Source organism: Homo sapiens, chromosome 20 (assembly GCF_000001405.40).
Source record: "Homo sapiens chromosome 20, GRCh38.p14 Primary Assembly".
Taxonomy (NCBI): Eukaryota; Metazoa; Chordata; class Mammalia; order Primates; family Hominidae; genus Homo; species Homo sapiens.
In genome coordinates, this window is record NC_000020.11 from 13,793,281 (window position 1) to 13,811,642 (window position 18,362).

Sequence of the window (18,362 nt, forward strand, 5' to 3'; positions counted from 1 at the left end):
ATTTTATTTCTTTATTTTTATTTCCTTCAAACTAGCTTTCTTTTCTGACACATGAAAAGGAACTCATACAGGAAATATCAAGAACAAAGGAAAAATCACCCCTATCACCCCTAGTCCTACCATTCAGAGGCAACCATTGGTGGCACTTGGTCTCCACATTTGCAGACATATAACTGTCCCCGCCCCCCCAACACACAACTGTGTATGAACATTACTATGCTAATATTCCATGTTATTTACGGCACATCATTTTTTTTGTCAGTGAATTTATACTTATGTGTGTCATATATCATCTTTTTAAATGGCTACATGGTATTCTAATATATGAATACTCCATAGTTTATTTAGCTAAACTTTCTATTGAAGGGCAGTTACGTTTCTAGTTTCTCAATAACCAACACTGCAGTGAAAATCCTTATGTGAAGCCACATTGTATGTTTGATTTATTTTTTTCCGTGGGTATAAATTCCTGGTAGCGGAATTTATGGATTCATTTTGATGTTCATTTAAAAATTTTTTGACATACATCTTCAGACTGCCCTTAGAAAGACTGAACAATGACAAAGGTACTTTTTACTACTTTGCTTTGGCAACACTGGGCCAGCCTTTTCGTCTGGGTCAGTCTGACAGCTGCTGATATCTTTTGACTATTGGTATTTCTTGTGAATTTTGTAAATAATTTTGTGATATGCCTGCACCTTGTCCTCTTTAGCTATCTTGTGTTTTTATTCTAGGTGATTTGTAAGAGCTTGGTTTTTAGGGATATTAATCCTTCATTGTATATGTTGTAAATATTTTCCTCAGTTGTTTACATTGTTTATTGATTTCTATTAATAGAAGTTTTTAATTAGTTTATCATCAAATATATCAGTCTTTTCCTTTACAGTTTCTGGCTTTTGAATTATGTTTACCTAGGCTTTTTCATCTAAGGGTAAAATGTCCAGTCCACCCATATTTTCATCTAGTACTTCGGTTGTTTCACTAAAACTTTCAGCCTTCTTTTTTCTTTTTTTTTTTCTGAGACAGTCTTGCACTGTTGTCCAGGCTGGAGTGCAGTGGTGCGATCTCAGCTCACTGCAACCTCCGCCTCCCGGGTTCAAGCGATACTCCTGCCTCAGCCTCCCGAGTAGCTGAGATTACAGGTGCGTGCCACCACGTCCAGCTAATTTTTGTATTTTTAGTAGAGACGTGGTTTCACCATGTTGGCCAGGCTGGTCTCGAACTCCTGACTTTCAGTGACTGCCCACCTTGGCATCCCAAAGTGCAGGGATTATAGGCGTGAGCCACCACGCCCAGCCAAACTAGCTTTCTGAGATTTGTTTTGGTGTGAGGTTGGTATCCTGTTTATGTTGTTTCAACTAGTTAGCCATTTTTTCTGGCTGATGTTAAGTCATTTAAGAAATGCTTTTTGGGTGCCTTCTCTGTGCCACCTTTGGGAAGGGGGGTAGAAACTGCCAAGTAAATATAACATTGACTTCAATTTAACAAACAGTGATTGTGTTAGTAATTGAGATTCTACATAAATGTGATTTTGATCTTTCGTTTTCTTAACATTAGAAAAATTCCTCAGAAACAGAAATACCTACTGTCAGCGTTTTAGCTGATGAAGAATTCCTTCCCTTCAAAGAAAATACATTTGACCTGGTGGTTAGCAGTTTAAGGTTGGTAATCCACTTTTTAAAAACCATATGTTATAAACAGATCATTCTTGCCATAAAGTTTTGCTATGAGGCCAGGAGCGGTGGCTCACGCCTGTAATGCTAGCACTTTGGGAGGCCGAGGCGAGTGAATCTCTTGAGGTCAGGAGTTTGAAACCAGCCTTGCCAACATGTTGAAACCCTGTCTTTACTAAAAATACAAAAAAGGTAGCTGGGCGTGGTGGCATGCATGAACTTCCTAAAGTTCATCTGTGATAGAAGGTTTTTCTCCCCAGTGCATCTTAATATTTTGGAATTGCTCTTGTTGGGAGCAGGAGTTTGAAAGAGCATATTGGCTCCTGTATTCAAATGTTAGAGCAATTCCAAAATAATAAGTTACATTGGGGAGAAAACCCTTCTATCACAGATGAGTTTAGCAAGTTGGGGGAAAAAAAAGTTGAGGCACTATATCATATTATCTCCACCAGAGAGCATAGAATATATTCTTTCAAACTCCTGCTCCCAACAATCATAACTCATTCTGGACAAATTCTGGACAAACTCATTCTGGACAAACTCAAACTAGGACAGCTAGTTTTCCTTTAGCCTTAATTCTTCTGGCCAGGTACAGTGGCTCTCACCAGCAATCCCAACACTTTGGGAGGCTGCAGTAACAGGACTGCTTGAACCCAGGAGTTCGAGACCAGCCTGGGCAACATAATGAAATGCCATCTCTACAAAAAATTAAAAAATTAGCTGGGCAAGGTGGCGCATGCCTGTAGTCCCAGCTACTTGGGAGGCTGAGGCAGGAGGATCACTTGAGCCTGGTAAGTTGAGGCTGCAGTGAGCCATGATCATGCCACTGCACTCTAGCGTGGGTGACAAAGCAAGACCCTGTCTCAAAATAATAATAATTCTGTACCAGAATGTAGTTCTCAAGATTACTCTTTTCCCTTTATGTTTTCTACTATCTTCCTCCACATATGTTACACAAACATGTAATGCAAGTATATATCAAATAGGTTATAGGATACAAGGCACTGAGCCAGATTTTTGGGTGAATACAAAAATGAATTAGGGATCCTGTCCTCAAATAACTCAGTCTAACAGAAAAAATATCTTTGTGGTATCTTCTTTCTCCTGTCTTATAGTCAAATAGATTTTCTTTCAGAAGTTCAGCAGGCTCTCCACGTCCAGTTCAACTCTTTCGATAGCTGTTTTTAGGGTGACCAGTCATCAAGGTGTGCCCAGGACTTTGCCACTTTTGGCCTGAAAGTCTTATGTTCTGGGAAAGCTGGTCACCCTTGATGTTTTCTTTCGTGAGTGTGTAATTCCTTCCCTGGTTTTTTAGATGTGCTGAACAAAGTTAGAAAACTACTCACATTCTGTCATGAAATGAAAAATATGCAGAGCCTTGGTCTATAAAGAACCCTGGGCAGGGAGTCAGAACCTGAGTTTTTATGTTAGCTCATCTGCTTGCTATTTGCAGGTGACTAATTCTGTTGCTTTCTGTTTTCCCATAAGTATGATAGAGTTTATAGTATGAGCTCCTTAGTTTTTAAAGTATCTAATACTTGTCGAAAAGCATTAGGAAAGATAAACATGAGCTTAACACAGTATGGTTTGAAATGGACATTCAGTTCTGTCCTGGAACTCAGCATAAGGGGAGGCAGTTATACCAGAAAAGTGTGACCGTACTCTAAGGAGACTGGGAATATGACTTTCGCTGTCACGCATGACTACACTCTAGGTGAGAGTAGGGTCAAAAGAAAATTCAAGGCCCGGGCACGGTGGCTCACGCCTATAATCCCAGCCCTTTGGGAGGCCGAGGCAGGCAGATCACTTGAGGCCAGGAGTTCAAGACCAACCTGGGCTACGTGGTGAAACCCTGTCTTTACTAAAAATACAAAAATTAGCTGCATGTCATGGCGCATGCCTGTAATTCCAGCTGCTCGAGAGGCTGAGGCATGAGAATTACTTGAACCTGGGAGGCAGAGGTTGCAGTGAGCCAAGATCGCGCCACTGCACTCCAGCCTGGGCAACAGCAAGACTCTGTCTCAAAAAAGGAAAAAATTTAAGAGATTAAGTTTCAGTGTATACAGCTCTGGTTTTTGTTTGTTTTTATCACCTTAAAAAATGGATGTACCACACACCTACTAGAATGGCCAAAATCCAGGACACTGACAACACTAAATGCGACAAGGATGTGGAGTTCATTATTGGTGGGAATGCGAAATGGTACAGGCACTTTGCAAGATAGGTTGGTTGTTTCCTACAAAACTAAACATACTCTTAGCGTACGATCCAGCGATTGCATGCTCCTTGGTGTTTACCCAAAGGAGATGAAAACTTACGTCCACGCAAAAACCTGCACACAAATGTTTATAGTAGCCTTATTCATAATTGCCAAAATTTGGAAGCAGCCAAGATGTCCTTCAGTAGGTGAATGGATAAACTTTGTTGTATCCAAACAACAGAATATTATTCAGCACTAAAAAGAAACTGTCAAGCCATTAAAATATTTGGAGGAAACTTAAATGCGTATTACTGAATGACAGAAGCTAATCTGAAAAGGCTACATAGTGTGTAATTCCAACTGTGACAATCTGGAAAAAGCAAACTCTGGAGACAGTGAAAAAGATTGGTGATTGCCAGGGGTTGTGTAGGGGAAGGATGAATAGGTGGAGCACAGAGGATTTTTAGGGCAGTAAAGCTACTCTATGATACTATTATAATATTGGATATATGACATTACACGTTTATCCAAACCCTTAGAATATACAACACCAAAAGTGAACCTTAATGTAAACTATGGACTTGGGGGATAATCACTTATCAGTATAGCTTCATCAGTTGTAACAAATATACACTCTGGAGATATTGATAATGGGGGAGGCTGTGCATGTGTGGGAATAGGAGTATGTAAAAAAATCTCTGGGTTTTCCTCTTAATTTTGCTGTAAACCTAAAACTGCTCCAAAAATAATTAAAAATAAAGTCTTAAAAATTGATTTTTTAAAAAATGGGATATTATTGGAAAACTCACAGATTCAAACTTTTGATGAGTTACACTGTTTGCCTTGAAAAAATTTAGATCTGCAGATAATTTTTTTCTAAGAAAGTCTGACTTAGAATAATACTATATTTCTGTAGCTTAATTGATTTAACTGATGAGCTTCTTTGAGCATTTTTACTACTTTTTGCAAATAAGGTCTCAGAATAGCACCGTTTAGATAAAATGCCTAAGTAGGAATGACTTTTACATAATTCAGTGATGAATAATTAGAAAATAATCATATCAGATTCTTTCAGTTACGCAAAGTGATATATTGACATGGGGAATTTTCTGGTGTGACACAAGGCAGGTTTTCCTCTAGGAATATTTATAATTTTAAAACCTGTATGAAAACGATCAGTGGATTTGGATATGCAGTTTTAAACTTCAAAATTAACACCTTTTTATGGGTTATCATTAACCTGGTGATAATTTTACTAATTAATTGTGCCAGTTAAGCTAAAACAAATCTGTATTCTCATATTTTAGTTTGCATTGGGTGAATGACCTTCCTAGAGCACTTGAGCAGGTAAGAAAACTTATGTTCATTCAACTATCTTGTGTTATTTTCTTTATTGTTAGAAATCTACAGATGTTTCTATTTTCACATACTATTTACTTGTAGGTCTGACAGTTGGGAAAGAAATCGGTGAAATCATCTGGTGCCATTTGGCATATTAGTAGTACATTGGGCAACTCTCCTTTCCCTGAGAATTTAAGAAATCTAATTGTAGAGATAAGTTTTAAATATTTATGAAAAGCTTAGGAACTGTGCAAAATAATATTGAAATCATAAGACATTCTCTATGTAGATTTCTTCTTACCCTTAGTTGCCCATAAACTTTTTGCAAGTAGGAACCTACTTATTTATATTTGTATTTTCTCCATGCCTTATACTCAGAGAGTGCTAGGTAAGTTTTTATCGATTGACACGTATCAATAGACAGGTGAGAGGCAGGTAAAAAGTATGTGTTCAAAGGAGAGAACAAGATCCCTGTGGCTTGACATGGCCTAGAAAAGCTTCAAGAGGAAAGTACTTGAGCAGGGCCTTAGAGGGTAGGTAAAGTTTGGATTGGGAAGGCATTCTAAGAAGGCAGAATCACAGGATAGGTGGAGAGGCACAAGAGCTTCATCAGCATTAAGGAACAAAAAGGAAACCTGTTTGGAGGACTAGTATAGTGCTGGGAAGTGAGGTGTGATGTATTGGGACAGTATTTAGGAGGATTTGAGTGTCAGGTTGAGGAATTTGGAGTTTATGCAATTCAGAGCCACTGGAGCATTTTGAAGAGGAAAATGACATCATTATAAAGCTGGTGGGCAAAATAATAATGGCCATATCTGAACACGTATGATTTTCCAGTTTCCCGTTACTGTGCTCTGTTTTATATTTGTGTTAAATAGCTCTGCGAGATGTATTTATTTTGCTGATTAGAAACTGATGCCTCGGCTGGGCGTGGTGGCTCATGCCTGTAATCCCAGTACTTTGGGAGGCTGAGGTGGTTGCATCACCTGAGGTTAGGAGTTCGAGACCAGCCTGGCCAACATGGTGAAACCCCGCCTCTACTAAAAATACAAAAATTAGCCAGGTGTGGTGGCAGGTGCTTGTAATCCCAGCTACTTGGGATGCTGAGGCAGGAGATTCTCTTGAACACGGGAGGCAGAGGTTGCAGTGAGCTGAGATCACGCCATTGCACTCCAGCCTAGACGACAGAGTGAGACTCTGTCTCAAAAAAAAAAAAAAGAAAGAAACTGATGCCTGGAGCAGTTCGTTAAATTGAAGGGAGACTGTTTCAGTGGTCCAAGAATGAGATAAACTAAACCTAGGTGGTAATGGTAGGAGTTAAAAGGAAGAGTATTTAGGACTCTACAAGGAAAGAATCAACAGTTTGGTGACTGATTAGATCTGAAGATCAAAGGGAGGAGGCAAAACTCACTTTGAAGTTTTTGAGTCTGGATTAGTAAAAGTAGGGGAAAGAATGTTAATGATCAGATAAAGGGAATAGAAAATGGCAATAGAAATATGGCAGTTGGAAAGGGGAATTGATTTGATAAATAGATGTTTTCCTTGTAGGGGTTGGAGGGAGCAGGGACGGTGAGTATGCTGAGAGACAAATGTCCAGGGAATAGGCAGTTGAAGATGACTTTGGACTTCTGAGAAGATGGCCAAGCTGAAGTTAGGGATTGGAAAGTGGTCATTGTGAAATCATGGAAGTTGATAAGCTGTCTGAGGGAGAGCGGGGAGCTGCAGAATTCTGAGAACTAAGTCTTAGGTATTTGGTTTAGTAGAGTTTGATGACAGGAGGAGGAAGCAACACTAAAGGTGAAGAAGGGAAGGAACCAAAGCTTTTACAAATTATTTACTTAATACTGCTTTTAATTGCTTCATGACATATTAAATATAAATTTAAGACAGTACTTTTATTAGAAGAGCCTACTGTGATTTGGATTCTGGTTTACTTCAGAATCTACCTTTTCCTGTAATGGTCCTCATTGCTGAGAATAGTCAATCAAACTAGTTACAGCTTGTAGTCTGAGAGTGAGCAAAATCTGTGATTCTGGAATTCTCTCTGGCCATTATTTTCCTTAAGTTACTAATTAGAAATTGGTTTTGTTTTAAAGCTGGAAAATAAATTGATTACTTCTCTTTAACGAAAGGTAATATGTTACTAGGTTAATGCTGTGAATCATAATGATTTCTCTGTAGCTTTTTCTGCATAATAAGGCACCCCAACTTGATGGCTTAAAACAACAACTATGTAGCCCATGATTTTGTGGGTTGGCAGTTGGGGCTGGATTTGGTTAGGAAATCTGGGTCTGGCTTGGCTCATCTGTGTGTCTGTGATCAGCTGCCAGATCGTCTGGGAGCTAGCTGGTTTGGAGGGCCTCGGTGCACACAGCTGGCTGATCTCTGCCCTACATCTCTCCTCCTCCTCTAGGCTAGCTCAGGCTTGTTCACACATCGTGGCTGGGCTGGGCTCCAAGAGAGCAGGTGGAAGCATGCAACACATTTGAGACCTAGACGTGGAACTGGCACACTGTCACTTCCACTGCATTCTTTTGGCCAAAGCGAGTCACAAGGCCAGCCAAGATTCAAGGGGAGGGGAAATAGACTCCCTATCTTGATGAAAGTTGTTAGAAAACGACGTTTCAGAGGCCATAGATGCAGGGAGGTTTGTGATTTTTGCAGCCTACCCCAATTAAATTTTTTTTTCTCTTTCAGCATTTTTCTGATTATAAAACTAAGTTGTATACCTATTAGAAAACTTGAAAACATACAACATATTTTTATAGGCATTAATATTAGTGAATGTATAGTTGTCTTTCCAAGTATATTATGCATCATGATTTTCTGACAGTTGGTTGCATTAGATGTTATTTGTTAAATTATGTGATTATTAATTTGGCAGAATAAAAGTGGTTGTCATAAAATGTTAATTTAGACACTATATATTTATTTTTTAACATTTATATATATAAAAATTTGAATCATTTTGTTTTCTTGTATTTATTACAGATTCATTATATTTTAAAACCAGATGGAGTGTTTATCGGTGCAATGTTTGGAGGCGACACACTCTATGAACTTCGGTGTTCCTTACAGTTAGCGGAAACGGAAAGGGAAGGAGGATTTTCTCCACACATTTCTCCTTTCACTGCTGTCAATGACCTGGGACATCTGCTTGGGAGAGCTGGCTTTAATACTCTGACTGTGGTAACTATCAAGTTCGATTAACCCATAACTTACACAGTTCAAAAAAGAACTTCTTATCATTTTAAAGATAGAAAACTGTATGTGTTCATGGTTTCATGGCACTCTTTCTCTCCCTTTTTTTTTCTCTTTTTAAGGGAAAAGCTCTGATTGACAATGTTTAGTTTGTATAACACATCTTAATTGACACAAGGTAGGAATGTATAATTTTTTACTGTTACCTTAAAAAGTAGCTCAAAAAATGTATCATAGTTAACAAGACAAATTTCTAAACATACAACTCCATTAGAATCTTCAAATCTAGTATTAGGTGTAAAAAGGGCCTTAGAGTATTCCAGATGATAGGAAGAAAAGGGGATAAGTAGGGGAACCTGTAATATTACCACCAATAACTACCCCCAAACAGTGCCATATGAAGCAGAAATGAGAGAATGTGTGTTCTCAAGGCCTAGGGTGAGATCAAGGCTAAAGAAGGTAGGACAGGGTGCTGTACTCCATTAGGGCTAGAGAAATCTCGAAAGAAGACCCATGGGCAATCAGTGAGTAATAAGCATGAAGTCAGCATGGTACGGTGACGGGGTAGGACAGTAGGACTTTGTTCTCCGACAGGAGTAACTTGGATCCTTACCCTATTTCTTTACTAGATAGGGAAATTTGAGTAACTTACCTTTTTGAGCATTTATTTCTTTTAAAAATGCAAATGTGTGGCTGGGTGCGGTGGCTCACGCCTGTAATCCCAGCACTTTGGGAGGCCGAGGCAAGTGGATCATCTGAGATCAGGAGTTTGAAACCAACTTGGCCAACGTAGTGAAACCCCGTCTCTACTAAAAATACAAAAAATCAGCGAATTGTGGTGATGCATGCCTGTAATCCCAGCTACTCTGGAGGCTGAGGCAGGAGAATTGCTTGAACCCGGGAGGCGGAGGTTGCAGTGAGCTGAGATCACGCCATTGCACTCCAGCCTGGGCAACAAGAGTGAAATTCCCGTCTCAAAAAAAAAAAAAAAAAAAGCAAATGTTACTCACCTCACCCTTTAAAGAGATAAAGGGTGTGAAGTACCAGGACCATGGTAGATGCTCAGCTTACATTAGCTCCTGCCTTCCTCTTTCCCCATCACTCTACTCCCAGCATTTTTCTAGAACTAGGCTTCCAAGAGACAGCCATCTGGAGAGAATGATTGCCCTCTTCTTCCTCCCTCCACTAACAGTCTTTCTAAAGGATGTCATTACTCTCTTCAGAGATCAGTCCAGTAGACTTAATATGAATTTCCAAACCCCTCAGGCCTAGAAACATCCCTAAACCTGATTAGTGGAAATAGGAATTTCTTGATGAAGAAAGCATCTTGCTACATAATTAGAGATGATAAGCTTAAACGCTAAAATAGCTGTTTGGCATGATTTTGTGTGAATATATTCATGAAATCAACCAACCAAAAATAGATTGTGTCATATCCTTCCTTGTTTTTATAGAAGCAAGGGGCATGGGCAAGCAGGGCCCCTGATGTTGGAAAGGAGCCTCCAGGGAGGGAAGAATTAACAGGCTGGAGGACTAGGCTGGGAACTGAAGAGAACCCCGGAGGCTTCACACCTGTGACTAGTGTTGATCTTTTGTTAACTTTTAAATGGCCTGAGTCCATAGAAACTGCATCCTGAGAGGTTGCTCGGCTAGAAAGCGGAAAACCGCTTCACATGAGTGCTCTACTTTGTAATGAAAATAAACACTATTAATACAGGCAATTGTACACTGAAGGATCATTGTATTTATATTTGTAATTGTATAAGTAACACAAATATATTTTGGTTGTAACTATTAAGCTATACAGATAAAGCGAAAGTCTGTCATTCCCCCTTAATCCTAAAAATGCTTAGCTCTCTCTTGAGAGTAAGAGTTCTCAAAATTTTGGTCTCAGGACCCCACTACACACTGAAAAGTAATGAAGAAACTTTTAAAGGGCTTTTTGTATAGTGAATTAACATCTGTCAGTATTCACTATATTAGACATTAAAACTGAATTTGTTTTCGTATTCATTTAAAGCTAACAATAATATACCTATTACTTGTTAACATAAATGACCCTTTTTAATAAAAAATAACTATATTTTCTTTTAATTTTTTTTTTGGGGGGGGGACAGTTTCACTCTGCCACCCAGGCTGAAGTGCAATGGCACGGTCTTGGCCCACCACAATCTCTCCCTCCCAGGTTCAAGTGATTCCCCTGCCTCAGCCTCCCGAGCAGCTGGGATTACAGGCACGTGCCACCACGCCCCATTAATTTTTGTATTTTTAGTAGAGATGGGGTTTCACCATGTTGGCCAGTCTGGTCTCGAACTCTTGACCTCAAGTGATCCGCCCACCTCAGCCTCCCAAAGTGCTGGGATTACAGGCATGAGCCGCTGCGTCTGGCCATATTTTCTAAAACAAAAATAATTGAAAGGGAAGAATGACATTGCTTCACATTTTTGCCAGTTAATGTGCACCTTAGTAACAGAGCTAGATTCTCATGTCTGTTTCTGCATTCAAGTTTCTTGTTACACCATGTGTCATGTCATGTCTCCTCTAAAATAACCCATCGTAGAATAAGAGGTAAAAAGCCAAATAGTATCTTGGTATTATTATGAAAATAATTTTGACTTTGTGGACCCCCAAAAAAGTCCTAGGGACCCCAGGACTCTCCAAACCACACTTGGAGAACTACTGTCCTAGAGGTAGCTACTATTATCACTTTAGTGTGTAACCTTCCAGACTTTTTTTTTTTTAACAAGGACTACTTTATATAGACAGTCATATGTATTCACACATTTCTGAAACTTTTTTTATTAACAGTATATGTATTTCCAATATACTGTTAATAGTTTTCTAAATTGGTATGGATATATTTGCACTCCTTAATTTCCGCATATTATTTCCTAGTATGAATGTACCACAGTTTTACTTAACTATTTACCTGTGAATGACCTTTAGGTTTGTTCTGATTTTTTGCCAATAGTAGCAATGCTGCAGTGAATATCCTTCTATACAAATTCATTTATGTATTCAGTCTTGCAACAAACATTTACTGAGTACCTTCTGTGTGTCTGGTACTATCCTAGGTACTTCAAATATAGCAGTGAACAAAACAGAAATCCCTGCGTGGTGTTTTTGGGTTTATAGCAGGCCTGTTGGTAAACTTTAGACCGTTCAATAATACTGGGATGTTGTACACAAAATTTGTGGTGGTGGTGTTCATAAATGGAGGAAAGTACCCATGGTTTTCATCAGATCTTGAGAGAGCTAATATAACTAAAAATAGATTAGGAACCAGTGATTTAAAGCCTTTTTGATAATATTTATTTTACTTATAATATGGAAAAAATTTCCTTTACAGTCTACCCTCTTGAGAATCGTCTCCTATATTGCTGTGTCACCAACCTATCATTGAGATGAAAAAAGAATCTCCGGGAATGTAAAGCCTCTAAAAAGTATAGGAGGTGTAGGGCTGGGATGGTGTGGCGATGTGTAGTGCACATTTTCATGAGGTGATGTTAAAAAATTTATACGAGGTCATACAGGTTAGTCAGCAATATTACAGGACTCAAAAGTTATTGCCCATTACGAAAAAAATGGGATTTCTGCTAATCACCAGAAGAAAGTTAAATTATGTGAACTACACATGGTTTTCTGTGGTTATAAAGAATGAGTTTTAGAAAGATTTCTACTAAAAATGTTTAACCTGATGTTAAAATGTTTAAAAGCCTACATTTCTATTAATTGGGAAATATAATTCAGAATACTATCCATATTCTCTAAAAATGAGCCTAATGACTCATACTTTAATATAATATAAAAATATTGGTGTAGAATCTTCTTTAGTTTATACAATTAGAAAGTTGCTGATTTAATAAGAAAGTTATGAGAATGTCTTCTTGAATCATTACATTTATCCTGTGAGGCATGTATACAGTTTTGTTTCTGAGGTGCTGTATTAATATTGCGTCCTGGCCAGGCACAGTTGTTCACTCCCATAATCTCAGCACTTTGGGAGGCCTAGGTCAGAGAATCACTTCAGCCTGGGATTTCAAGACCAGCCTGGGCAACATAGGGAGTCCTCATCTCTAAAAAAAAATTTTTTTAAATAGCTGGGCCTGCCTGTAGTCCCAGCTACTCGGGAGGCTGAGTTGGAAGGATTGAGCCTGGGACGTTGAGGCTGCAGTGAGCCATGATCTCACCACTGCACTCCAGCCTGTGTGACAGAGCAAGATCCTGTCTCCAAAAAAAATAATAATAATATGTGTTCTAATTCATTTTCTAAAAATTCCCATCCAAAAAAGCTTTTGTATAATCAGCTATACAGGTTTATGTTGCATACATTAGATATATTACTTTTACGCTACAATGGATTTTTATTTTTAAAGTGAAATCGAGTCAGATTAGTATCATATAGATGTATTTACATCTTAATGTATTTTCATCTTAATGAATTATTTTCAGAGAATGAGCATTCTAAGTAAAGCTGATTTCCGTTTTAGAACTGAACTACCAGACTAGTACTTTAAGAGAATGGTGCAAGGCCTGGCACGGTGGCTCACGCCTCTAATCCTAACACTTTGGGAGGCCAAGGCAGGCAGATCACAAGGTCAGGAGATCAAGACCATCTTGACTAACACAGTGAAACCCCGTCTCTGCTGAAAATACAAAAAAATTAGCTGGGCGTGGTGGCACATGGCCTGTAGTCCCAGCTACTTGGGAGGCTGAGGCAGTAGAATAGCTTGAACCTGGGAGGCGGAGGTTGCAGTGAGCCGAGATCGCACCACTGCACTCCAGCCTGGGCGCTGGGTGGCAAAGTGAGACTCCGTCTCAAAAATAAAATAAAAAAAATGGTGCAGATATGGTCCCCTTTTAATTTAAATAAGGCCTTCAACAAAGCTGTTGTGGCATTCTTTTGATTGAAGTGGAGATAGTGCTTTTAGTTGGTTGCACTGAAGAATTGTTTTCAAAGGATATTGCTTAATGGCTAGATAACAGCCTGGAAAGAATTTTGTTTTTAATCTTAGGATCTCCTCTTAAAAACAGCTTGTTAATATGGAAAAGTATATGGATGATGAATGTTCATGGTCTCACTACCTAGAGGTCTCATTAAAAAGCATACACAACCTGATACACGTATATGTTTTTTTAAAGAAGAGTAAGGTATATATAGAGAGAGTGATACAGTGGGGTGTAAAGTGAAACGAAGTCTCCTCTTCCTGACTTCTCCCTCTGTTGCCCAGGCTAGAGTGCAGTGGCGAGATCTCCGCTTACTGCAACCTCTGCCTCCCAGGTTCAAGGGATTCTCATGCCTCTGCCTCCCAAATAGCTGGGACCAAGGGCATGTGCCATCACACCCAGCAATTTTTTTTTTTTTTTTTGAGATGGAGTCTTGCTCTTTCACCCAGGTTGGAGTGCCGTGGCGTGATCTCGGCTCACTGCAACCTCTGCCTCCCGGGTTCAAGCGATTATGCTGCCTCAGGCTCCCAAGTAGCTGGGACTACAGGCACCAACCACCATGCCTGGCTAATTTTTTGTATTTTTAGTAGAGATGGGGTTTCACCATGTTAGCCAGAATGGTCTCGATCTCCTGACCTCATGATCTGCCTGCCTCGGCCTCCCAAAGTGCTGGGATTACAGGCATGAGCCATCGTGCCTGTCCCTCCTCCTGACTTCTCAAACCCTGGTCCCTTTCCCCAAAGATTTGTTAGCTGTGTCTTAGACATCGTTTCAGATCCACTTTTTTTTATAGACCCATAGAATACACTTATGTCATTTAAACTTACTTATATAATATTACATGCACTCTTTTGCTTTTTTTTTTCCAGTCAATAACATGTCTTGGAGATTTTTTTCCTATAGACATGTATCTACCTTATTTTTTGAGAACTGTACAGTATTTTATAGAATACATATTCTTTAATTTGTTTAACCAGTCCTCTATTAATGATGTTTAGATTTATTTTAGGCTAGTTTCCAGCCAGGCGCCATGGCCCACACTTGGAATCCCAGCACTTTGGGAGGCTGAGGCTGGTGGATCACAAGGTTAGGAGATCGAGACCAGCCTGGCTAACACGGTGAAAGCCCGTCTCTACTAAAAATACAAAAAAAAAAAATTAGCTGGGCACGGTGGCAGGCGCCTGTAATCCCAGCTACTCGGGAGGCTGAGGCACAAGAATCGCTTGAGTTCAGGAGGCAGAGGCTGCAACGAGCAGAGATCACACCACTGCATTCCAGCCTGGGCAACACAGCAAGAATCCGTCTTAAAAAAAAAAAAAATTATTTTAGGCTAGTTTCCAATAAGAATAAACCCCTACTTTTAGTGCCTAACACAATAAAGTTTTATCACATCACAGCTGCGTGCTGGTGGGACAGCCCATCTCCATCTTGTAGCTGTGCCATCTGGCCCTGTGTTCTATAATCTGGCCCTGTGTTCTATAAGATCACCACAGCAAAAGAGATGGCCTGGAAAAGGCTCTAGCTCTTAACTGTCTTGCCCCTCCTTTCTTTGGCCAAAAGAAATATGTGTTTGAGATTGGGAAGTGTCAAGGAGCACCTGGATATTTGGGGAGCATCAGTGGTCTCTGCCACTGTACCAACAGTTAAGTCCTGTATCAGGCTTCAAAAAGAAGAGGAAGTCATTACCCAATTGTTCATTTGAGAAACAAACTCCACATGTATCAGCAATGTGCTCATTTCCTAAACAAGCCTATTGGCTGCATTACTAGATATAGAATGAAATATTTTGATTCTAGGTGCCCCATTTTAAGAAAGATTGATATTGACACTGTCCAGGGACATGTAGTCAGAACATGTAAGGATCTCCAGATTTTTGTGTCCTGAAGGTTTTCAAAGACTTGGAGGAGAGGGCAATGGTTTGTAGGGTACAGAATACTCTTATTCTGTGTGGTTCCCAAAGAGAGAACTAGAACCAATGATGGAGTTTTAGGATGATTTCTCTCACAATGCAGGATATTTAATCAGCAATTAGAGACTTTCATAAATCAAACATAAGCCAGATGACATCTATGAAGAATATTGTAAATATTTTTTGCTTAGCATGGGAGATTGGTCTGGGTAGTCTCTGCGGCCTCTTTTTTAAATCTGGAATTTTGTATCATGAATGTCAAATGAATATTTCTTTTTCTTTTTAAATAGGACACTGATGAAATTCAAGTTAACTATCCTGGAATGTTTGAATTGATGGAAGATTTACAAGGTAAGGCACTTTAAAGAATTTTTAGACTCCATTGGGAAAGGTAGGCCAAAAAAAAAGAATTTTTAGACTCCATTTGAGAGAAACATTTTGAGAGCCAGCTCTTTGGCAGGCACTGGGCAAAGCACTAGGGATCCATTGTTGAGGAGAAAGCAGACTGTCTTCATGGAGCTTCTGATATAAAATGGAGGAGGCAGGCACCAGGCAGCTGTCACAGAGATAAGTGTTAAATTAGAATTATGGTCAGTGCTATGAAGTAGAGGCATATAGTGCTACGGCTGTTTGTAAAAAGATGGCGGGACTTTTTTTTGAAGGGTGCACTTGAGGATGATGGAACACATTGGTGACTTCCTTCAGCCACACTTGGCAGCTGAGATACAGGAATGAAGGTAGTTGAGTTGGTTTAGAAGTAGGGTTTTGTCAGGGGGAAATGTCCCAGTCTGGGAGACTCAAAAAGAAGTGTTATCTGAGGAAGTAGCAATTGAGCTGTGCTCTAAAAAAAAATGGAGATGAATTAACTGGGTAGACAGAGTAGGCAAGTGAATCTGAGGCAAGGAGAACAGCATATGCAAAGGCCCTCCTGTGAGAATGAACATAGCAAGAACTGAAAGAAGGGCATTTTGGCTGGTGTTCAGGGAGTAAGAAGGAGAGAGTTAAGTGATGACCTTGGTGGGTCAACGTGAGTCACAGATCAAATGCAGAAGTACTTTATAGGCCTTGTTAAAATTGTTTGCCCTTATCTTAAAATGCCCCTTGAGGCATCTTAGAGAGGTAACAGTATCAGACTTGGATTTTGAAAAGAGTAGATTGGCAGATAAACTAGTCACGAGATTAATTTCAGTATAGCTTGCTGAGAGATGATGGTAGTTTGTACTAAGGTGGTGGCAATGGAGATGAAGAGAAGCAGATTCATCCCAGAGATGTTTAGGAGATAAATTTTGCAGTTCCTGCTGGTGGATTGGCTGTGGGCAGATGAAGGAGAAAGACATTTGAAGCTTAATTGCTGAGTTTCTAGCTCACATAGAGAGATGGTGTCCTTCATTGATAGAAGAAACAATAGAAGAATACCAGGTGTGGGCAGGTACAGCCCTTGAGTTTACATTTGGATACATTGGGTTTGAAGTGCTTTTGAAATACCTAAGAGGTTATGTCAAGTAGGCAGTTGAGTATGTGGGTAGGTAGCTCAGAGGAAGCTACTGGCTTGGTTAAAAAGTTGGGAGTCAGTTGTGAATAGGTGGCATTCAAAGCGTTTGCCTAGGATAAGAACATGGAGTGAGCAGACAAAGTGGCTTGGTACTGAGGCTTTAGCAGGTGGGTAGTCGACGTCTGAGCCTACAAAGAGACTGAGAAGGAGTAGCCAGCAAGGTGTTCCAGAAAAACACCAGAAAAGTGTAGAATTGCCTGAACCAAAGGAAAGAAAGAATGTTTCAAAACAAAGGGAGCACTTAGCAGCGTTAAAAGCAAACTATGAACTGAAAAGGAAGTCCGCTAGATTTAGGAACAAGAAGGTTATTGGTGACCCTGGTGAGAGCTCTTTTGTTAGAGTGAGGAGAGTAGAAGAGGAGTAGGTTGAGGAGTAAGTGGAAAGTGAGGAACTGGAGATAGCAGATATGTGCTGTTCTTTCAAGAAGTCTGGTGGTGAAGAAGAGGTGAAGGATGGAAAGGTTACAGGTGTCAGAAGAGAGGAGAGGAATAGAAGTTGAGATGAGGTTGTTTTTTTTTTTCTAAGACTTGAATTTATTTAATTGCTGACTAGAAGAATCTAAGTGCTTTCCTAGAAGAGGTGACTCTAGAAGAGAGAGAAAAGATAATTGATGATGACAGGTGTCTGAGAAGGTGGGAAGGGTGCAATACAAAGGCCAGTGGAGGGGTTGACCTTGGTAAGGGGAGAGGCAAAGTTATAGCAGGAAGGGAGAAGAGGTAGCACCAAAGGATGTAGGTGTTTATGTTTGAAAACAAGAAGTTCCCATCTTGTGGGTCTATTTTTTTTGTCAAACTGGAAGTAATATATGCTAAGAATGAAAGGGTCAGAGTTTTGAGAAGTGAATGGAACCGTTTGAAATAGTCATTATAGGGAATGAGAAGGTGAACTGACCATCAACAGGAGGTGGCAGCTCAGGACCAGGCACGAAAATCGGATAGTTGAATTAGTTTGGGTTGGGGGTTTGCTAGTTAAAAGTGACAAAAAGACAAAGGTAAAAGATAATTCTAGGAGTATAATTGAGATAATAGGTTAAAGAATCTTAGCTGGAAGAAAAGGGAAGTGGGAACAAGAAAGAGTGAGCTGATAAATTGGGAGGAAAAAGAGGAGCTGAGCACAGGTGGTTCCAGTGTGGTCAGGGATGGTCACGGTTGAAGTTCCTGAACACACTGGAGGGACAGGAGGGTATGGTCAGAAAATGAGATGTTTGATGATTTTGGAAGTAAAGCAGTTACAAGTGATAATGGTCTGGGACGTGTCTCAGGTATCAAGGCAGAGGTGGTGTGATGGAGTGGTTGATTAGAGATGAGATTTTAAAATCTTAACTTGCTGATTATTAACATGAAGTCACCCAGGATGGTGGCAGTACTGGAGTGTAGAGGAAAACTGAGCCAAGTGCCAAACCTTTCAGTGAATGAGGGGAGTGACTAGCCTGATGTCAGACAGCAAGCAGGAGTTAGGAGGAGCTAACAGCCTTCTGGTGTGGGGCCTCAGCAGGGTGAAGGTGTTTAATAGGGTAGGGAAGTAATGGCTTGGAAGAGG

General features: G+C 39.9%; 1 protein-coding gene across 21 annotated transcripts in view; it reads left to right on the top strand.

Annotated features, from left to right (window-relative positions):
• The window catches only part of NDUFAF5 (NADH:ubiquinone oxidoreductase complex assembly factor 5), a 36,553-nt gene that overhangs the window by 8,253 nt on the left and 9,938 nt on the right, over positions 1 to 18,362 (top strand). For 10 of the 21 annotated variants that reach the window (NR_147981.2, NR_147979.2, NR_029377.2 and 7 more), the window contains 4 exons: positions 1,558 to 1,661; positions 5,181 to 5,220; positions 8,206 to 8,403; positions 15,562 to 15,622. Coding sequence is in view for 13 of the 21 variants with exons in the window: in NM_024120.5 (NP_077025.2) it covers positions 1,558 to 1,661; positions 5,181 to 5,220; positions 8,206 to 8,403; positions 15,562 to 15,622 (403 nt within the window). In the remaining 8 variants the exon portion in view is untranslated. Of the gene's footprint in view, positions 1 to 1,557; positions 1,662 to 5,180; positions 5,221 to 8,205; positions 8,404 to 8,537; positions 8,594 to 9,869; positions 10,137 to 15,561; positions 15,623 to 18,362 lie in introns of those variants that run through there. The other 11 variants (NR_147983.2, NR_147980.2, XM_006723624.3 and 8 more) reach the window with 5 other exon arrangements.